This window comes from Homo sapiens, chromosome 3 (genome assembly GCF_000001405.40).
Source record: "Homo sapiens chromosome 3, GRCh38.p14 Primary Assembly".
Taxonomy (NCBI): domain Eukaryota; kingdom Metazoa; phylum Chordata; class Mammalia; order Primates; family Hominidae; genus Homo; species Homo sapiens.
In genome coordinates, this window is record NC_000003.12 from 191,565,448 (window position 1) to 191,588,601 (window position 23,154).

The following is a 23,154-nucleotide window of genomic DNA, read 5'->3' on the forward strand; positions in this document are numbered from 1 at the left end:
AGTGCCAGGAATCCAAAGCATAATGGGGGAGATCCCCATATTGATACCTAATCAATCATGTGCAGTTTAGTTTTAAAGATATATCCTAAAAATCAAAAACAAACACACAAAAAAACTAAATAAACTAAGAAAGAAGTTTTTTCTCTTCACCATATATTATTACTAGCTGGCCTTTTGATTTTTTCTGGTTTCCATTTTATAGGAAAACAGATGTTTCTGAACAGGTGTAAGTGGGTGGATTCAAAAACCTAAAAACATTGAAAGCTTTTATTTCTCGTTTATTTTTAGAAAAGAAAGAAGAAAATATATGATAGTATCCATTCTTTTAAAAGCCTTTATTGGCACTTGGTTTTATATTCTACTGCTATTTTAATTTTTCTTCCCTTAAGTTAGTTGACCATATAAATTAATAATAATAAAATGAAATTTAGTATTTATTTTCTTCTTCAAAATTAAACAAGCCCAGAGGGAAAATGCCCAGTTGTCCAGTGGTCTCTGTAATAACTTCACACAACCTATCCCATCTGTCCTTTTATTTCCATCCCGTGTTCTAGTTCAGGCCCTCGTTATTTCATGTTTTTTTTTCTTTTTTTGCAGAAAATTCCTATATGAACTCGATAACTGGATTTTTTGTTTCACTAAAGTATCTCATAAATAATGGTTCCAAAGAAATGTTTTAAATAGCAGATTTAATCAGGCAGGTGGACTGGAGTAAACCTGGAACCCAAAATTAGGATACGTATGTTTATTGTGGCACTATTCACAATAGCAAAGATTTGGAACCAACCCAAATGTCCAACAATGATAGACTGGATTAAGAAAATGTGGCACATATACAGCATGGAATACTATGCAGCCATAAAAAATGATGAGTTCATGTCCTTTGTAGGGACATGGATGAAGCTGTTTTTAAACTATTTCTTGTACTTTCAAGCTGTTTTACCTTTTCATCTTATTTATCTTTTTTGAAAATCTGTTTCCTCAATTTTACAATCTTATTCTCTGACTTATTGCAAGGTTTAAGCAAGGTTATGCATATTACATTTTAGCATGATGCCTGATAGTAAACAAACATTTTAAGATCGCTGTTTAATGTTTCTCCCCCAAGCAAAACCATAAATAGCTTCCCATCACCAAGAGAATAAATTCCAAAAGTTTACCAATGGCATTCAAATCATGCCACAAACTGGAACCAACATGTTCATTCAGTGAACTTGCCCCTAATGTATTCAGTCCTTTAGAAAGTTGGACATTGTTTCTGTACATGCCTTGCATTCTCATCCCTTTATGTCATTTTTTGCAGATTCTGTTATGTGGAATGCCTTTATACATCTTTGTCTACTGGTTGGGATGCTGCTCATTTCCCTTTTCCTGAAAGCTTTCCAGACACTCAAGGTGCCATAAGGCAAAATATAATAGTTTATATTTCTGTGTCCTCAAACATCGTAAACAGTCAATGTGTCGGATGAACTTTTCTCCAATTCATTATAACCAGACAATAGGTTCTTTGAAGGCTATGACCAAATCGTGAGCCCATTTTCCTTCCTTAACATACTGCACCCAAATGAGCAGAACCTAGTGGAGATCTTGCGGCTTAGAGCTTGCTGAATTTGGTAAAGACAAAAATTCTTGTGTTATGTGTGGTGGTTGCATGTGCATGTGTGTTAGTGTAGGTGCTGTGTGTGTGTGTGTGTGTGTGTGTGTGTGTTTGCATGGGGCAATATGGAGATAGTGATGGAGTACAAGAAGGAGCTTGACTTTCATGAGCTCCTGAGAAAACTCATCTATCCATCAATCCCCCATGCAATTACTAAGTGCTTAATCCATGCCAGGCACTGTTAGAAGGCACCAGGAAGACAAAGTTCCTGCCATCGACACTTACATACTAGAGGAGGAAATAGGAAATAAACAGGTAAGGAAATACATGCAAAGTATGATATTAGGATGTGATAAGCATTATCAAGTGAGTAAAATGGAGAAAAGGAATAGAAAGTGACAGGGGTTGCAATTTTGGAATAGATGATTAGAGAAGTCCTACCAGCAAAGTGACATTTGTTGAGCAGGAACATAAAAGAGGTGAGGTATTAAGCTAGGTACGTATCTAAAAAAAAATGTATTTCCAGGCAGAGGAAACAGTAATGGCAAAGGTTTTAGAGAAAAAAAAAAGTATAACCCAGGTTAACCTCTCTTGCAGAACTAGTTTAGCCTGTCCCTTTTACTGGTGAAATCACTGTTAATGTTTCTGTAGTAAAGGTAGTGTTTTAAATGATTTATATAATACAATAAAATTTGTAATCTCATTCAAGCTCCTTTCTTCATCTTTAAAATGAAGTTAAACTCGGGAAAAAAGGATTGTTCTAGCTCTGAATTGCTGCACTACTGTGACTTAAGTGCTCCTCTGCTCTCCTAGCAGCACTTTTATCTTACGAATTTATATTTATATATATATGATTAGAACATTATAAAGTAGAAAAAATTATGGTTGTTATTTTTATTAGTAGTAGTATTTTGTCTGTATTTTGTGATTTCTGAAGCTGTGGCTACCTGGTTCTTTCTGTTTCAATTATGACTTTAATTGTGAGGCAACACTGTAAAGCACTCAAATATCAGTGGTCAGGAATGTGCTGCAAGCAGATCCTCTCTCTCTTATTAATTCCAGAACACCAAATGTCTTAGTCCATTTTGCCTTACCATAAAGGAATACCTAAGGCTGGTAATTTATAAATAAAAGAGGTATATTTGGCTTATGCTTCCACAGCCTGTACAAGAAACATGGTGCCAGCATCTGCTTCTGGTGAGGACTGCAGGAAGCTTCCAATCATGGTCCAAAAAATGCGGAGCCTGCGTGTCACGTGATAAGAGATGGAGCGTGAGAAAGAGGCAGGAGGAGAAAGGTGCCAAGCTATTTTTAACAATCAGATCTCGAGGGAACCAATAAGACAAGAACTCATGATCTCGGCACCAAGCCATTCTTAAGGGATGTGCCCCATGACTCAAACACCTCTCATTGGCCCCACCTCTAATTCTGAGATCAAATTTCAACATGAGATTTTGAGAGGACAAATATGCAAACTCTATCACCTCGAAAGAGAATATTTCTGGGAATATTAAGAAGGGGTCACAAGGCAGACTCAGGGGTTGGGTTTTGTGTGTAACCATGGTATGGAATCCACACGCAGTCCATGTTGCTAGCTCCGGTTTTGGAGGCTGAGAGGTGACTAAGTCAGGCGTTCAACCTAGATTCTTCAACCTAGTCCTTCACTTAAGCACTTGGCTGAAAGATTGGCTTCAGAAGACAGTACTCCAGCTGGGATGTTGCACATGGAACAGATTGATCTTGAAATCTGGTCCTGAAGTCAACTTCACAGCAGGAATTTCACACATGCAGGCACAAACCAGCACTTGTGAAAATCTCCATGAAATAGCTGCTAATATTGTCTAAACTGGCTTTCAGCTCGGTAGCCAGTCTTCCAGATAAATGTCAAATTAACTGGATAATTATACCTCAATATGAACTCAATGTCCAACATTAGCTTTTTGGGAGATTTATTTTTCTTTAAACTGTGCTGGCTTCGTAATCTTATAGAAACATTGTTTATCTCAGATTCTGAGAAGTATTCAAATAAGTAAAAGAGTAAATGAAATGGATTATCATTTTCCTCTTTCCTCTTCCCTCCCTCCCTTCCTCCTTCTTTCCCTGTACCTAGTGTGTGTGCAAAGAACTATGCTGGGTGTTGTGGAATAAAACAAGTTAACATATAACCTTTCAGTAATCAACTAGCAACCTCATGGGGAAGACAGAAAAATGCTAAGCGTAAAATACCGTAAATATGCTCTAATAGAAATATCAACTATGTATTTTGAAAACATACAGATTCTAAGTCCCAAAACAACCAGGACCTGCTGTCTTGGCTACTGCTTTTAACTATGTTGGTTAGCAAGATGATGACACATAGTAGGTGTTCAAAAGATAGAACAGGGAATGTACTTTCTAATTTTGTGAAAAAGATGAGTAGCAAAGAAATGAAAACAAAGATTATATTTGAGCTGGGATATAAAGGAATTTCTTTTTTCTTAACCTGTTTTAATTTTGTTGTTTTTGTTTTGTGAAAAAAAAACACTGGATGCTTCAAACACTTTCTCTTTCTACAGTGACCCCCACCTTTACAAGTGTCTGTAATTCTCACTAGCAGTATATTAGAGGGCAAAAGATTTGAACAGACACATCAGAAAAGAAGACATACAAATGGCCGCTAAGCACTTGAAAGGATTCTGAACACCATTAGTCATCAGTGAAATGCAAATTAAAGCCATAATGAATGGCGCTATACATTTTCAGAATGGCAAGGATTGAAGACCGAAAAAAATCAAGCGTTGGTGAGTATGTAAACTTATTGGGTTTATGTTTTACATATGCAAAATTTTGTCTCCGTAAGGGAGAGTTTTACTTCTTATTTCCTAACTTTGTATGTTTTATTGCTTTTACTTTCCATATTTCGATTGACAGAACCTCTTATACAGTGTTTCCAGTTTTCATTTTTGAATTTTAAGGGTTCTTTATATCATCTGGCATATGTGTTGTGAATATTATCTCGCAGTCTGTGGGTTGCCTTTTGATTTTATTAACCGTGCTTCCAAGGAGAACAAATTGTGATTAAACAATTTATTAATGTTTTTATAGTGGTTAATAATATTCGTGTTCTAAGAAAACGTTTCTTAACCTCTCTAGAAATTTTATAATTTTAGGATTTACATCTAAGTCTGTAATCCATTTCCAGTGTATGGCATGAGATACGAATCTCTTATCTTACTTCCATTTAGAAATTTAATTGTTCCAGCCACATTTATTGAGAAGTATTTTCTTTCATTATTGAATTGTCTTAGTGCCTTTGTAAAAAAAATCAATTAACTAAATATGTGTGGGTCTATTTCTGAACTTGTGACTTTGTCTCATCCCTCTATGTCTTTAAACTTTTGCCACTCCTAAAGTGTCTTGATTTCTGTAAGCTTTATTTTGTCTTGAAATCAAGTATGGTAATTATTCTAACTTTGTTCTTCTTTTAAAGAAAGTGCTTAGCGAGGTAATGCTAAGTTATTTGAACTTCCATATAAATTGTAGAATCAGCTTGTAGAGTTTGCCAAAAAAAACCTATGGGATTTTTATTGGAACTGCATGGAAAGCATAGATAATTTTTGAGTAATTGACATTTAACAATATTGAGACTTTCAATCCTTGAATGTAATATATCATCCCATTTATTTAGACCTTCAATTTCTCACAAGAATATTTATAATATTTAGTGTGAGATCTTTGTTTATTCTATTGTATTTATCTAAGTATTTTATGAATTTTAGTGCTATCATGAATGGATTTTGAGCAAATACTGTTTTCTAGTTATTTACTGCCAACATATACAAGTAGAAAACATTTTTAATATTAACCCTTTATCCTGTAACCTTGTTAGACTCATTCATTAGTTCTAGCAGTTGTTTTGTAGACTTATTGAGGGTTTTTTGTACATAGATATTATTATGTATCTATATGTCTCAATAAATGCAAAATAGAAATTCCTGATTCTCTTTTCTACCAGGTTGTTTTATCTTTATATATGGAAGTACCATCACTATCACATATTTGCTACAGACTAAAAACTAGACATTATCTTGATCACTCCTTTGTCTCATCTTCCAAATTTAATCCAGAAAATCCCCTGGTTATCTCTGCCATTCTAAATCTTTCCAGTTATATTTATTTTTATAGCCACCACCTTAACCCCCAGCTACAATCCTCCCATGTCTGATGGGTTAAAATCATTTACTTAATGATCTTCTTGCTTCTTCTATTGACCCTCCACACAACAAAGAGAATTATCTTTTTGAAATATTAATAGGATTATGCCTATACACTGTCAGAAGCACCTCATTAAGCTTCAGTTGAGCCCCAGGTTACTTACTGCTGTCTTCAAGACTTGAAACACTGTGCTCCCTACTTAAGCTCCATACTTGTACTTTTTCTTCTACTCATTATGGTGTGACTGCAGCTGTCTTTTCTGTTTCTTGAATATATCCAGTCCTTCTCACCCTCGGGTGCTTGAAGCTGTTCTTCCCTCTGCCTGGAGTTCTCCTCACCTTTCAGGTTTCAGCTCAAAGATAAAATTCTCAGAGATGCCTTCCTTGAAACACTAGCTACAACAGTTATCCTACAATTAGTCTCCATGTCTGATTAACTTGCTTATTTCTTTCATTACATTATCATAACCTGCAATAACCTTTTTATTTTATTTTTGACTGGCTTTGTTCCTATTACTATAAGATATCTTGTCTTTTCAATTTGTTGCTGTATTCATAATGCTTCAAATAATACCTAACACATAATAGGAATTCAACATGTGTATTGAAGGAATAAGTCAATGAATAAATATTTCTAAAAGTCTAAGCTTTTGTTAAATTCCTAAAGGGGACTTTTACTCAATTTAAGAACCACTGCTTTTAAAGTACAAAAAAAACATCGATTTCTTCTGTTTTGTTCTAAAGCATAAAAATCACAATAGCATTAATCAAAGGAGGACATAAAGTAGGAAAGCAGACATATAGGTATAATAAAATAGACCTCTCTATATCAGTTGATTTCTATCAACCGACTAAATCTGAAATAGATTACACGTATTATGAGAGTTCCACTGGCAGCTTCTCAGAAATTTCCCTGAGATTTAGAATTTATTGGCATCTTCGATTGCTTTAGCGTTGCACTAGTATGATATTTATGCGATTAAGACATTGTCAAGCACACCATTTGAGACAAATTTTGAAAGACAATATTTCCCTTGTTTAAAATACTAATTCATAATCCTTCCTATTTTTATATCGTGTCTTGCACTTACTTTAGTTATCTAGCTTTTGTTGCTTTTTTGTATCTCTAAAAACCATAATATCTTACCCTTGAATTTTTTGAATTGATATATTATTTATGTGACTGAAATCATTTTCCTTCTTGTTTAGTTTTTTTAAGAGATACTAAGGGAAATGTTACTCTGTTCTATAAGATTAATTTATAAAGCATCTCCTTCTTTGTCACATGATCAGATACCACCAAAACATTAAATGTTTTCAAATAGATTTTAATAATGTCTGAACAAAACCATCATCTTCCCAAAAGTTATGTTGACGTTTACCTCATATGCTTAAATCAGAGAGAAAAAGGGTCCAAACCACCACACAATTAAAATAATAAGCACACCAATATTATATTGCCCCTAAAATGAAATCAATTCTTTTTAAAATCCAATGTGCTGTGTATCTCTCCTATATCATTTACTTGACAGCTGCCGTTTATTGAATGCTTTCTCTGCTATTACAATATTTAATATACGTCTTTTCTGGTCCCTCTTCCCACACTAGTAATATTGTAAGCCTCTTTAGTGTTGCATCAAAGATTCTTATTAGAAATGTCCCATGGTACCTGGAACACAATAGCTCCTTATTGAATTTAACTACTAAATTACCACAAATATTCATGACAACAAATTATAACCATATATTGGGAAAATGCCAACATAATCAAGCCAAAAATATCCATATCTATTAATCAAAGACTGTATTCTACAGATTTGCAAGGATTTTGTCTTTTTTAGCTTCAAGTTATTATAGAGTGCTATTATTAACATAGAACTACATTTTTGTCCACTTACTTCAGTATGGCAGTGTTAGGCTGAAATATCTTACTCTAAATATTTATATGTTGAAGTCCTAGCCCCCAGTATCTCAAAATATGACTGTATTTGGAGACAGGATCTTTACACATGTAACTAAGTTAAAATGAGGTGATTCCGGTAGGTCCTAATTCACTATGACTTATGTCCTTATTAGAGGAGAGTGACAAATGGGGAGACAGCCGTGGTGCATGATCGCCGAATAAATACCATGTGAGGATACAGCAAGAAGGTGGCCATCTACAAGCCAAGGAGACAGGCCTCAGAAGAAACCAACCCTTCTTACACCCTGGACTCAGACTTCTAATCTCCAGAACTGTAAGAAAATAAATTTCTGTTGCTTATGCTGCCCAGTCTGTGTTATTTTGTTATAACAGCCCTAGCAAACTAATACAGCCAGAGTACTGCTTCTTTAATGAAATTTCATTGATGTTTTATAGATAGGAACACTACTTCTTCAGAGGGGGTGAGGAAGTTTAGGGCGATATTTAAAGACATGGCTTTGACATTCCATAAAAGTCACAGACTGTCTAAGGGTTTCAGCTCTATGTCTTACCTGGCAGTTGTCATTTATCTGCTATTACAATTTTTTACGTACATGTATGTCCCTGGAAAGTTCCTTAACTGTATTTAATTTCATTATGCATAAAATATTTTATTGGTTTGTAAAAATGGATGCAATATATATAAGGTACTTAGCATTAGTCAGACATATATTAATCAATTAATATATTTTAGTTTAAAAATAGATGTTTAAATTTTACATAGGATTTTAAAGAAAATAATTGCCTCTAGGCCATATAGAATGTCTATGGAATTAAACATTTTGTTTATTGAACAAAATTGTTTAATTTAATTGTAGAACATTTTAAAGATGGAATAAATTTTAAAAAACGAACAACCTATACATTACCACCCATAGATAGCTACTGTTAACTTGTAGTTTTATTACCTGTAACTTTTTTCTTTGGGTAGTTAGCAATTTTAAAATATATTTATCATATGACATATTTAATTCTTAAAAAATATCTTCTTACTAAAGACTAATGCATACTCACAGTTGAAAAATGAGGAAATGCATAAAAGTATTATAAATACACTTAGAGGTTATAGTAATTGTTAATAATTTTCTATATTTTATTGAAATCATATAATGTAAATAAATATTAAAATAAATGAACTGGAAATACTTATAATTTGTATTTACTCAATAAATATTAATACATATCAGAAACTGTTTTATATGCACAAGATATAATGCTGATTAAGACAGGCCAAGTACCAGACTTTCCTTCTACCTCATTCCATTTGGGGAAAGAAGTAATAAACAAGAAAAAATCAATTATTGATTCAGATGGTATGATAGACTTGATAACCGAACAAACTCGTTGAAATCAATTGCAATTGCTGATAAAATACTCTTACAAACCCATTCCTCTCAAAACACAGACAATCTTGCAAGAAAGATAGAAATTTTTAGATGCCAAAAAATAATTGAAAGTAGAAACTCAGAGTTATAAGCAGAGAACTGAAGCAGGTTGTTACCTGAGGGTGTTTGCCAAACCAAAGAAAGCTGAGCTTAGATTTTAATGACCTCAAGAAGTACAGAGGACAAGGGACAAATCTCATATCCAGAATAGATATGAGGAATTTCTGTCTCAACTTGACATTGGATAGAAAGAGAAAACATCTTCAATAATTGATAGACATAAAATCAAATTTAACGCAGTTTGAAATCATGAAGTAATATATGACAATGAAAATGACAAAATGTCTTTGAAAAAATACTAAATAAGATTTCTGAAAGTGAAAAATAATAAAATAATTTAAATAATTCAATATGTGGAATTATCAGTAGTTTTAATTCAACTGAGGAAAGAATGTACTGGAAAATATATTCAAGAACTTAATCAGACTATATAACAGAAAAACAAAGAAATAGAAAGCATGAAACATTAGGAAACATAAAGAAGAGAATAAGAAAATCTAGCATAATTGAATTACCTGAATTTTAAAAATTGAAGAAATGAAGACAGCTATATTTGAACAAATGATGCCTAAAAAATTTGCCATAAATTTTTACAAAACACAATCATTTGACTCAGGAAACCAAATGAATCATAGTAGGATACATAAAAAATAATTCCTATCGTCACATTGTAATAAAACTAAATAATTAAAAAGGCAATGTTCTTTTATTATTATTATTATTATACTTTAAGTTTTAGGGTACATGTGCACAATGTGCAGGTTAGTTACATATGTATACATGTGCCATGCTGGTGTGCTGCACCCATTAACTCGTCATTTTGCATTAGGTATATCTCCTAATGCTATCCCTCCCCTCTCCCCCCACCCCACAACAGTCCCCAGAGTGTGATGTTCCCCTTCCTGTGTCCATGTGTTCTCATTGTTCAATTCCCACCTATGAGTGAGAATATGCGGTGTTTGGTTTTTTGTCCTTGCGATAGTTTACTGAGAATGATGATTTCCAGTTTCATCCATGTCCCTACAAAGGACATGAACTCATCATTTTTTATGGCTGCATAGTATTCCATGGTGTATATGTGCCACATTTTCTTAATCCAGTCTATCGTTGGACATTTGGGTTGGTTCCAAGTCTTTGCTATTGTGAATAATGCCGCAATAAACATACGTGTGCATGTGTCTTTACAGTAGCATGATTTATAGTCCTTTGGGTATATACCCAGTAATGGGATGGCTGGGTCAAATGGTATTTCTAGTTCTAGATCCCTGAGGAATCGAAAAAGGCAATGTTCTTAAAAGTCTGATGAGAGAAAAAAAAGATTGCTATTAACAAATAATAGATTGCTAGCTGACTTCTTAATAGCAACAATGGAAACCCAAACATAGAATAACATTTTCAAAATGTTGAGAGAAAAAAAAATCCAAAATGGTGTACCAAGACTAATTTTTATAAAAATATTCAGACCCTCCAGTAGCATTGTCTTAGGTCTGTAGTCCCAGCACTTTGGGAGGCTGAGGCGGGTGGATCGCTTGAGGTTAGGAGTTCGTGACCAGCCTGGCCAACATGATGAAAATCCATCTCTACCAAAAATACAAAAATTAGCTGGACGTGGCGGCGGGTGCCTGTAATCCCAGCTACTCGGGAGGCTGAGGCAGGAGAATCGCTTCACGACTGAGCAAGACTCCATCTCAAAAAAAAAAAAAAAAAAAAAGTTTAGACAATTAAAAACAATGTGTTGTTTTGTTGTTGTTGTTGTTTATTAGGTTTTGTTTTTTAAGATGGAGTCTCACTCTGTTGCCCAGGCTGGAGTGTAGTGGCGCCATCTCAGCTCACTGCAACCTCTGCCTTCTAGGTTCAAGTGATTCTCCTGCCTCAGCCTCCCGAGTAGCTGGGATTACAGGTGCCTGCCACCATGCCCAGCTAATTCTTGTATTTTTTAGCAGAGATAGGGTTTCACCATATTGGCAACAAAGTATTTTTATCAAAATACTCTGAGCACTCTAAATCATATTTCTGCTGAGTTGCAGTGATCCTACTACAAGGACAGGTAGGCAAGTATACCACTAAAATGGGGTCATTAATATGCCCTGCTTTTACAGTAATTGACCTTACTGACAACATTCAGTGAGAATGAGGATTTTATACCACCCAATGAACAAGCTTGATTTAAGGGACATAGATATACACAATCATATTATTTGCACCTAATAATAGTTTACTTCCTTTCTGTTACTCATATGTTTTATTTCTTTTTTCTGATCTTATTGTATTGGCTAAGATATTCAAATAAAAAAAGTTAGTGAGAAGCAGTAATAGTGGATACCTTTATCAGTCAAGAATAACTATAGTGAACAGAAAATTCTACAAGTACTTTAAGAAGGAAGGAATTTGATTAAAGGATATGGCAAGTCAGAAAATCACTAAAAGGACTGCCGGTCTAGGTTGCAGGTTAGGCCTTCAGGCCTGCCACTCAGAACAAGGCAAAACTGCCTCCACATAGGAGTACTATTTCTAAAACCACAACTGATCAAGAAGATGCCACCGGCTGCAGTAGTACTTTAAAGACACAGAAAAAAGAATTTACAGATTCCATTTTACATTCACATAAGTAGTTGCAAGGAAATGTGGATTTGTAATTTTATGCCTCAGCATATCTAGCTAGCAAAAGGGTAAAAGACAGTTGTATGAGCTATAATTTTATGAGCAGTATCTTTTCTTTTTTTCTATTTTCATGAAATACTTTTTAAAAATTATCATTAACTATGTTGTTCACAGTATGCTTTTTCTGCATATCTTTTTTAGGTTAACTGTTTCTAAATTAATAATGGAGAACATTTATAGTTGCAAAACTATAATGAAAGACTTTTAATATTTTTTTTTAAGTCAGAGACAGGTTTTTTAGGGAGTCTTTAAATTAACTTCCTGTTTTCTGTTGGACTTTCTCTGTACCTGTGAACTTTTATGCTTGGGCATCTCTGGGTTTCTGTCTGGAAAATGATCTCCTTTCTCCCATTACATTTTCCCTTATGTATAGTTTAGTCTGTTACTTCTGTGATTCTATCTGTCCTATCACTTTCGCATTCTGTCTTCCATAAATTCGTTAAATTACCTCATTCACTATAGGTAATGTCTCCCATTGTTTTCAGGTGATAGGTTCATTCCATTTATTCCGTTACAATCATCGTAACTGGATTTCTAGAGGGAGTGGGGGAAAAAAGACACAGAAAATTCTACTGAATTTTTCAAATCCTCCACTTATTAATTTAATCTCTTATTTTTTCATTAATATCTGACAGAGATATGTTAAAACCTCTCATGATGATAAATTTTTCGTTTTCTTGGGATTCCATAAATTTTCTTTTTTATAAGTTTCAAAACTTTGTTGTTAGTTTCATTCAACTTTATGATCTTTCTGGTGAATTGAATCTTTTCTCAATATCTGATTACTCTGTTTATTGGTAGTTTGATTTAAAGTACCTTTTATCTGATATTAATATAGACACATCCAATATATTTATTTTGCTTGAATTTGCCTCATGTGTTTTTTCTCTTCTGTATAGAAATACTTTTAAAAAATATATTCTTAAAATACAGTCTGACAATTTTTATTTTTATTTTAATACAATATTTACTTTAGCCCTACATTGATTATGATTTGTTTATAAATTCTGTCTGTCCATGTGAGGGTATTTTTTCTTTCTCTTTTTTTTCAGTCATTGTAATTTTTCCACCTACTGGTTTAGAGTTTATATCAAATCTATATTTTAGTAGTTTTTCTATAATTTTTTAAATTAATATATACATTTTAATAAATTCTAAAGCTAACAACAAGAATTATATTCAGTTTATCCGTATAAGAATTCCTCTCACTTGACACTATTTTACTTTTCTGGTCATGATTTATATATATGTTAATTAATTTTTAAACTGCATACTGTTACTGTTGTTTAATATAATTAATTTCTGCCTTAAGTTTGACTGATATAATATTTTCTTCATTCAGTATTTTTTCTCGAACCTTTGACCTTCCTTTGGAATTACTTTTTTAAAATAAAGAATTTCTCTAGAAGTTCTTTTAGAGTTTATTGATAGAATATGTTTTTACTTTGTGTGTGCCTAAAAATACTTTTATTTTATCCTCATTACTGAAAGATAATTTCACTGGGTATAGATTTTCCAAGATTACTTTTTAAATATTTTTAGCTAATCACGGTAATGATATAATCACATTATCTTCTGAATTTTAGTGTTGCCAATATCTAATTATAGACCTTTTACAGTTAGTCTACATTTTGTCACTGACTGCTTTTAATTTTGTCTTTGGTATTTTACTATATTCTAATTTGGATTTTTAAAAAATATCTACTTTTTGAATTATTTATGTAACCAATTTGAGGCATGATTTTTTTCTGTCAGTCATCAAACTCTCTGCTATGTTTTTTAATTATTGCTTCTTCTCCCCACTCCCTCCACCTTTTTTTTCTTTTCCAAAGACAGGGCCTTGCTCTGTCACCCAGGCTGGAATGGTGCAGTGATGCAGTCACAGCCACTGCAACCTCAAATTTCTGGGCTCAAGCGATCCTCCAGCCTCGGCTTCTTGAGTAGCTGGAAATGTAGGTGTGTGCCATGTGTTGCTAATTTTTTAATTTTTATTTTTGCAGACACAGGGTCTCTCTATATTTCTCAGGCTGGTTTCACACTCCTGGCCTCAAGCAATTCTCCCTCCTAAGCCTCCTAAAGCATAAGGTACTCTAAAAATAGATTATGTTAAATCTTCTTACCTTATTCAATATATCTTACAATCTCTCCTATTTTTCATGTAGTTTCTGTTCTGCAGTTGGTTTAATTACTTTACTACTATTCACCATTTTACTCATGGAGGATACGTCTTCTAATGTTTCTACTGTACTGTATTTTTTGTGCATTGAGTTTCTAAACCCTGTTATTAATGTCTGCATTTTACATTTTATTATTTTTCAGATTTACTTGGCCTTATTTTTCAAAGCATTTTTTTAAAAAAATAATATTCAACATATCAACATTATATTCTTGTTTGAAATTCTAATACTTGCAGACTTTATGGGTTTAACATTTCATTATGTTTCTGCTAATTCATATGGAGAGACATGTTTAAATATTTTCCTCTTATTTATATATATATTAATTTTAGGCTTATCATATAACTTAGAATTTTATGTGAATTCTTTTGAGACTTGTTTTGAAAATACACATTCTTCTGGATTTTTTTTAACCTTTTCTAGGAGTCTGAGGGTAATACCAACCTGGAACCACTTTAAATGAAATTTTCAACTTGGAGATTTTTATCCCAAAGGTGATGGTAAATCTGTCCCCAAACTCATACATGCAACCTTGCTGTTAAGAATTCTCAAAGAAATTCGCAGCAACATGAATGAAACTGGAGGGCATTATGTTAAACGAAATAACCCAGGCCCGGATAGACAAAAACACTGCATGAAATTACTCATATATGGAATCTAAAAATGTTACTGTCATAGAAGTGTAGACAGTAGAGGCCAGGCACAGTGGCTCACTCCTGCAATTCCAGCACTTTGGGAGGCTGAAGCGGGTGGATCACCTGAGGTCAGCAGTTGGAGATCAGCCTGGCCAACATGATGACACCCCGTCTCTACTAAGAATACAAAAATTAGGTGGGCCTGGTGTCGCATGCCTGAAATCCCAGCTACTTGGGAGGCTAAGGCAGGAGAATCACTTGAACCCGGGACAGGGAGGTTGCAGTGAGTTGAGATCGCACCATTGCACTCCAGCTTGGGTGACTGAGCAAGACTCTGTCTCAAAAAACAAAACAAAACAAAACAAAGTGTTAGAATAGAGTTTATCAGAGATAGAGGGTTGGGGGGAAGAGGGAGCGGTTGCTCAGTGTGTACAGAGTTGCAGTTAGTCAGGAAGAATAAGTTATGGTGTTCTATTACACAGTAGAGTGAGTATAACTAATAGTGTATTGTATATTTCAAGGTAACTAGAAGAGAGGATTTTAAATATTATCACCACAAAGAAATGATAAATTAAAATGACAGATATGCTAAATATCTTTATTATACAATGTATACATGCAATGAAACATCAAGCTGTACCACATAAATATGTACAATTACCGTGTGTCAATTATAAACAAAATAATACTTAAAGAATTTTCATAGTAGACATTTTATTTTTTGATTAGCTCTGCTTGGAATCAGAGACAGGTGAACACATCTCTGCTAACTCTCTCCAGTCAGGTTTTAACCTACTTTGACTTATGATTGTTCAGAAGTCTTATTTTTCTCTGAATTTCTCTTAACTGAGCTACCATTCTGCTAGCACCATAGTCACTGACCTCCTCTCTCCAGTGCAGTTCACTGATTATAATAGAGGCTTTTGGCTATCAGTGATGGACAGTTGACTCCAGGTTAATGCAAGCTCCAATACTCACAGAATTCTCGCCTATTCTGTACATAGGATTTTTGTTGTTTTCGCATTTTATTCATCAAAATTAGTTGTATGGTTATGGGAAGTGATTCAATTAATATTTAGTTTGCCATATTGCAAAATAATGGAAGTCCTTGTATTTTTCTATGTTTAGTTTTTAAGTTGTTGAGCATACTCTGTATGTGGTATTTAATGATAACCAACACAAATAGTAACAGTTAGATAAAAACATTTATACAATGGCACGTAATATCTGACTTTGGATAGGTTGTTTTAACCAACCAAAGTCAGATATTATGTGCTATCATATAAATGTAAATTATATAATTTTTATATAATTATTAAAGAAATTAGTACAATAAAATGCAAGTTAGTATGTTTTACAGATGGAGAAAACCATTATTAAGTTTCTTCACAGTGACAATGGCCATTTTGTCCTTTATTCAACTTTAGTTTCAAAGTAAACTAAAAAAATTAGAAATGTTCCTGGCATATTATCTTGAGAATTATCACTAATAATTATCCTGATTATTAACACAACCAATGCTACAAATGCTAGGGCACAAAAGCTTCATATATAACTTTATTCATTAAATATAGTATAAGATTAATAATATCTTCATAGCAGAACTAAGGATGCTACTTATTTCTTATCAAAATTTCTTAGGATATATCTAGACCTGGCTTATTTATTTTCCTGGAACATGATGATTCCTGAGGCAGAAACAATCACTATGTATGCTAAATGAAAACTATATTTTTTGTTTGTTTGTTTTGATGCAGAGTCTCGTTCTTGTCACCTAGGCTAGGGTGCAATGGCGCAATCTCGGCTCACTGCAACCTCCGCCTCCCGGGTTCAAGCGATTCTCCTGCCTCAGCCTCTCTAGTAGCTGGGATTACAGGTGCCTGTCACCTCCCCCAACTAATTTTTAAATTTTTTTAGTAGAGACAGGTTTTCACCATGTTGGCCAGGCTTGTCTCGAACTCCTGACCTCAGGTCATCTGCCTGCCTCAGCCTCCCAAAGTGCTGAGATTACAGGTGTGAGTGACTGCACCCAGCCAGTGAAAACTTTTGTGAGCTGACATTGGAGGTGCTCACCTTGATACAGTCACATCAACTAAGAAAAGCCTGAAAATGTTTTGTGTTAAAGCTGATAATCAGTCACGTTACGCTCAGCTAAACCCTGTACAATTACTGCAGTCAAATTTTTTAGCACCCCTGTTGAAGACCATTTAGGTTCTACTTGTTCTTTCTACTGTTTGTATTGCATTTTCCTTTTTAATAATCACAGTATTGTAGTATGTAGAAACCCACAAAGCTGTTTCTCTCATGTTGTCCCAGTCGTATGTTCTATGAAAGAACAGAAAACATAAGTGTAATTGCCATTCACTACATAAAAAAACCAAAAAAAAAATAGATGAGAACAAGAAAAGTGAAGAAGTTTACCTAATGTCATACAAGAAATCACTTGCAGTACACAATTTCTAGTTCTGACAGCTTAACCTTCCGCATTTATCTGGGAGAGATTTATAAGGACATCTTTCTCCCAATAACAAGAGCCGGGAAACTTACAGAATGTCAAGGCCCTATATCTATCTAAAAGATTAAGAACAAAGTTAAGAGAAAATCTGTGGCCTGAATAGAATAGTTGTAGGAGACTTTTCCCCGCAAGACCTCACCTGAGCTATCTGGATCTTTTATTTTTTATTTTTTTTTTGAGACAGTCTCGCTCTGTTGCCCAGGCTGGAGTGCAGTGGTGCGATCTCGGCTCACTGCAACCTCTTCCTCCTGGGTTCACGCCATTCTCCTGCCTCAGCCTCCCAAGTAGCTGGGGCTACAGGCGCCCGCCACCACGCCCGGCTAATTTTTTGTATTTTTTAGTAGAGACAAGGTTTCACCATGTTAGCCAGGATGGTCTCGATTTCCTGACCTCGTGATCCACCCGTGATTTGGCAGAAACTTCTAAGGAGCCACTGCATAGAAATAAATGCACAAAGGTTTTTATCCAACTCAAATAATGTATGGACTACTCTGGGTGATCTCTAAAGTTAACTTAGAGATCATCTAATTCTAAAAGTTTATACAGTAGTAATAAGATCAAAACAATAGGCCGGGCGCGGTGGCTCACGCTTGTAATCCCAGCACTTTGGGAGGCCGAGGGGGGCAGATCACGAGGTCAGGAGATCGAGACCAGGGTGAAACCCCGTCTCTACTAAAAATACAAAAAATTAGCCGGGCGTGGTGGTGGGTGCCTGTAGTCCCAGCTACTTGGGAGGCTGAGGCAGGAGAATGGCGTGAACCCGGGAGGCGGAGCTTGCAGTGAGCCGAGATCGCGCCACTGCACTCCAGCCTGGGCGACAGAACGAGACTCCATCTCAAAAAAAAAAAAAAAAAAAAAAAAAGATCAAAACAATATTAGAGGATAAAGGTTAAATCTAATATTCTAATTTTACAGTTGTGCCAATTGAATGTTAGATAATTTAAGTGTCTCCTTCATATTCAACAAGAGTATCCTTTTCCCATTTGGTGCTATTGCACTTCACTAATATACCTCTCATCTTTTCATTTGTTTTTTATATTTGAGCAAGCAGTGCCAACCCAAGCCTAGCCCAACTCGCTAGAAAACATTTTTGGCTTTGAGTGCTGTATGACAGTGCTCACAACAAAAATGAGTCTGACAGAGAACGGAGAGAGATATGGAAAATCAAATCAATGGGATTAAAGGAAAGATCTAGGACAATCTTTAAAAATCCATTAGCCTGCATAATTGGAAGTTATATGCATTCTTAGGAACTGGTCATGTTGTTCTTGTTCTCACTTTTCTCCGTTTCACTCAGAAATAGCCACCATTCTCATTAAATTGAATTCTGATGTCATTGTCACTGTTGGGCTTAGGCATTCTATCCAAAAGTAACTGATTGTTAAGTGATGAATGAGATGATTCACACACAAACTGCAAATTGTAAGGCAACTTACATTGAGTTTTTAAAAAGTATGTATATGTGGTGTGTCCATTTGAGTTTTAGTCTAGTAGGATGTTATAGATCTATTTTGCATTTAATAAGATAAAAATTAGGCAGCTGAGTACAAGTTTCATATGCAAATAGCATTAAAGAGAGAATTTTTTAAAAAACAGTTAAGCTTTTTTGAGAATACATCTGCTGTTCTTTCATGTAAATATTATTATATTTAAAAGTTAATTAAAACCATTGTGTTTTCTTTTCTTTTTCTTTATTTTATTATTATTATACTTTAAGTTTTAGGGTACATGTGCACAATGTGCAGGTTAGTTACATATGTATACATGTGCCATGCTGGTGAGATGGAGTTTCACTCTTGTTGCCCAGGCTGGAGTGCAATGGCGTGATCTCGGCTGACTGAAACCTTCACCTTCCGAGTTCAAGTGATTCTCCTGCCTCAGCCTCCTGAGTAGCTGGGATTACAGACATGTGCCACCATACCTGGCTAATTTTTTGTATTTTTAGTAGAGACAGGGTTTTGCCATGTTGGGCAGGCTGGTCTCAAACTCCTGACCTCAGGTGATCCCCCTGCCTCAGCCTCCCAAAGTGCTGGGATTACAGGTATGAGCCACCGCACCTGGCCTGTAATCATCCTTAATCTAGTAAAGATAAATACAAGGGTCTTAAAGTTTCTTCTCTAATTCCTAAACAATACTTAGGGATTTGGTATGAAATATTCAGAAGTTGCATCAACAAATTTTTACATTGTGGTTTTAGATAAAAAGAAGGCTAACTTTCAAAAATGCTGAGTGATTGATAGGAGAGTATGATATTTCAGATAGATTGATATCTTCTGTCAAGAAATCTTACAAATTCCACCCTTTCTTTTGACCTCTTTAGAAATCATACCTGAATGCAAGTGAAGGATTGGGACATTATTTAAAGAAAAATAACTTGGATCATCTGTAGTTGTAAAATATTAAAGGCATCCAAATATGTGATATTTAAAATTTTCATTTAAACAAATTATATCTGGTATACTTCATATCTTACTGTGTTTTAGTTCCCTGAGTTTTCTCAGCTATTTTAAAAATTACTTTATTGAGATATGATTGACTGTACAAAAACGTTATACCCATTTAATCTATATGACTTGAAGATTTTGGAGATAAGTGTACACCCAGGAAATCATCACAATATATGCCATAAACATACCCATTACCTCCCAATGTTTCCTCCTGCCCTCTTTATTTATTGTTACATTTCTGTCACAGAAGGGATAACAGAAGATACACCCTTTAGCAAATTGGTAAGTATACAATGTAAAATAAACTACAGGCACTATATTGTACAGTAAATCTCCAGGACTTATTTGTCTTGCATCACTGAAACTTTGTACCCTTTGACTAATTTTGTGTCCTTTGACCAACAACCTTCACACCATAAACAATGTTAAATATGTGAGGTAATATATATGTTAAATAGCTTGATTTAATTATCCTGCACACACACATTGTACACAGACACATATTATGTTTTACACCATATATATAATTTTACTGTTATATGTTTATGCAAGTAATTATGCCCATAATTAAAAATAAGGAAACAATAAAAAAGTATTGGATTAGGAATCAATGCAGAATTAGGTTCAAGTCTTGATATCTCTTCAATTATTAATGGTCAAGATTTACTTCTCTGGATCTCTCCATCTGTAAATTTAGAGTTTGGGTTAGGTGAGCTTTAAAGTTTCTTTTAGCTCTGAATTATACAAATCCTTTCATGAATAATTCTCAAATAATCACAACTATTCCCTAGAAAATTCTGAGAGAAGGATTTTTGTAAGTGAATATTTAAAAAATCACACAGGACAAGAGAATAAAATATGTAATTTCAAGTTTTAATAATTAAAATCAGATTTATTTCCTAAAGTATTAATATCTTGGATATTATGGGGAAGTACTTGCTCTGAGATTCTAAAAGAAGCCAGTATCTGTTTTTTCGTGATGTTTTTGGAAAAGTCCACTAAAGGCCTCCTGATGCTACTCTTTCGTTTTGGTAAATGTTAAACCTCACTACATAATCTAAGACTATAACTGTGTGTTAGAAATTCCTAGTTTATGTTTTTTCTTGTATCTTGGGTTCTCTTCCTTGACCTTGACATGTCCATTTAATGAAACCTGCTCAAATTTGAGGCTCATTTAATTTGTTTCTCACAAACCTTCTGTATCTACTTTTACATATGTTCTTACGCCTGTGAATTCTCATGGCCGCTTGTCCTAGGGCGCCTCAGCATAACCCTCCTTTATTAGTAATATATTATATATGTTACATTAATGCCTTAAGGCCTTGAACTATTCACTTATCCTGAAATACTTTCTTCAGATCTTTCTGATTGGCTTTTTCTTGTTATCCAGGTCTTAGTTTATATTCTACCGCTGCAAAAAGCTCTCTGATCATCTAACGTAAAGTAACTTCCCAGTTACTGTCTATTTTATTGTCATGTTTTACTTTCTTCATAGCACTATTTAAAGTTATTTTATGTATGTCTCTCATTAAAATGTAAGTTTCCTGGAGACAAAAGATGCTCAATAAATATGTAATGATGATAAATTTTTTGTATGTGTGCATTTTATTCATTTTGCTGGAGAAGGCATTCACCTTAGAATAGAGTTACTTCTGTTTCATTTCTTTTATCTTCTGCAATATCTGATGTATGGTCTTGCACACCAGAAATTCTCTGTAGATATTCTTAATGGAATTATGTTAATGTGGCAGAAAAAAAACAGTAGAAAATTGGAGCTGTTACTCTCCATTCTATTTGCTAAATGTAGTTTGTACTGTAACATCATTTCATTTCATGGGTTCTTGACTTGATAAAAAATAAAGAAAAGAAAGAGAACCGCACAGTTTTAGCATGCTAACTTAAAAATCCATATAAAGGCCAAGCAACTGCATGCCCAAAGGAAACTTTGATTTAATTATTTTCTAAAAAGATGTCCATATCTATTTAACTGCCATTCAGAAAAATCATGAGTTTCAGAACTACAGTTCTTATAATAAACCTACAAATATAATTATTTATTAATACAACTAGAAACATTTTTTATAGACCTGGTATAATCACAGAATAATCAATCAGCCAGAAATGTAACATTTTTACTAATGATTTTGAAATGTCAAATGATATATAATGCTTTAATTGATCTAGGCTATTCAGAAACACCTAAGTCATTGTGACTATATAAAAGAAATAAAAGCAGAAGATTTCTAAAGTGTCTAGTTCATTTTCATGTAAACAGGAGAATAAATGAAAGCAATGTTTTATTTATTCAACATAAACTGGACTGGATTAAGATCAGACTTGCTACTTTCAGTTAAATTTACTATTAAATTGATATTCATTAGAATGTTAGAACAAGGAGGGATTCTAGCAGTCATTCAAATGAGGTTATTATAAGTGAGGAAACTGAACTAAAACAATCTATTCAATGTTGTAAAACTAGGAACTAAAACAATCTATTCAATGTTGTTAAACTAGCTACTCTAGATTAGCTCAGCTTTAAAGACTCGCTAGATGTCCAGATGCAAGCACCTGCCTCTTAGTCCAGTGCTTACTCCACAACATAGCCTTTTGACTCCTATTTCAAGGGACACCAAAGAGTAAAATTCTGTAACAGGTACTCAGCAGGGTTGGAAGCTAATAGGATTTGGACTCATCTATTATATATCAAGAAAAGGATCTCCAGTTTATAATAATACATTGTAATCAAGTCAATACAGTAATATTAAAATTATATCAAGTCCTGAAAAATATCTTTCTTTGAATATTTGGGAGGCACTTGTGGATCTAATACTGCTTTCTTTATGAAATTTCATAAGATTTACATTGTCTATGATGACTAAGATTCTGGTTATCAGAATGCAAAGTAGAGAAGTATGTAAAGGTACTGCTTTAGTGTGTGTATTAGTAGGAATTATTTCAGTTGCAAAAGGCAAGAACTCAGCTCAAATTAGTTTATACAAAAGAAGCTCACTGGCTGGCAAGAAAATAGTAGCTTAAAGTTGAAAGCAAGAGATACAGAAAAACGAAGCACCTAGGGCAGGAATTATGCACTCAGAATTGCTAAAATATTATCTCTCTTTTCTTATCTGTGCTTAGTTTCATTCTTCATATTTTAAATAAGATACGGCCCCTGGCCATTCCAGTATTATTTCCTCTCAGTTTAGCAACACTGCCCCTTCCCTTAAAGGGGTAACAGCTTATTTATTCCAGGTTCTATAGATTAATATTAAGGAAGGTCTTGAATTGGCACATCTTAGGGTATTTGTTGGCAACAGGGGAATAGGGAATTCCTGTAGCAAGGTAACATGATTGAAATGTTCACAAGAACCACATGCCACTGGGGAATAGTGACTCTACCTCCCAAAAGATGCTAAATTGTAAAAAGATGCAACACTAAAAAAAGTACCCCTTAGAATATTCATGATAATGGAATTTGCCTTGCTAATGTCCCATAAGTTAGTTGTTACAGAGGTGGCATTGCC

General features: G+C 34.1%; 1 long non-coding RNA gene across 1 annotated transcript in view, besides 5 other annotated features; it reads left to right on the plus strand.

The window, feature by feature from the left end:
• The window catches only part of PYDC2-AS1 (PYDC2 antisense RNA 1), a 164,833-nt gene that overhangs the window by 139,924 nt on the left and 1,755 nt on the right, over window positions 1-23,154 (plus strand). Inside the window, exons 5-6 of the long non-coding RNA NR_120606.1 lie at window positions 4,153-4,377; window positions 7,867-8,027. This is a non-coding gene — a long non-coding RNA (PYDC2 antisense RNA 1). The remainder of the gene's footprint in view (window positions 1-4,152; window positions 4,378-7,866; window positions 8,028-23,154) is intronic.
• Window positions 3,112-3,281: an enhancer, noted in NCBI's record as "experimental_67240 CRE fragment used in MPRA reporter constructs". NCBI's record gives its function as "activates a minimal promoter by MPRAs in K562 erythroleukemia cells, with activity observed for both the introgressed and non-introgressed 3:191286433 variant alleles {active_cell/tissue: K562}" and the evidence as "EXISTENCE:reporter gene assay evidence [ECO:0000049][PMID:34662402]".
• Window positions 5,216-5,385: an enhancer, noted in NCBI's record as "experimental_67247 CRE fragment used in MPRA reporter constructs". NCBI's record gives its function as "activates a minimal promoter by MPRAs in K562 erythroleukemia cells, with activity observed for both the introgressed and non-introgressed 3:191288537 variant alleles {active_cell/tissue: K562}" and the evidence as "EXISTENCE:reporter gene assay evidence [ECO:0000049][PMID:34662402]".
• Window positions 6,510-6,679: an enhancer, noted in NCBI's record as "experimental_67266 CRE fragment used in MPRA reporter constructs". NCBI's record gives its function as "activates a minimal promoter by MPRAs in K562 erythroleukemia cells, with activity observed for the introgressed 3:191289831 variant allele {active_cell/tissue: K562}" and the evidence as "EXISTENCE:reporter gene assay evidence [ECO:0000049][PMID:34662402]".
• Window positions 7,936-8,105: an enhancer, noted in NCBI's record as "experimental_67312 CRE fragment used in MPRA reporter constructs". NCBI's record gives its function as "activates a minimal promoter by MPRAs in K562 erythroleukemia cells, with activity observed for the non-introgressed 3:191291257 variant allele {active_cell/tissue: K562}" and the evidence as "EXISTENCE:reporter gene assay evidence [ECO:0000049][PMID:34662402]".
• Window positions 9,014-9,183: an enhancer, noted in NCBI's record as "experimental_67329 CRE fragment used in MPRA reporter constructs". NCBI's record gives its function as "activates a minimal promoter by MPRAs in K562 erythroleukemia cells, with activity observed for both the introgressed and non-introgressed 3:191292335 variant alleles {active_cell/tissue: K562}" and the evidence as "EXISTENCE:reporter gene assay evidence [ECO:0000049][PMID:34662402]".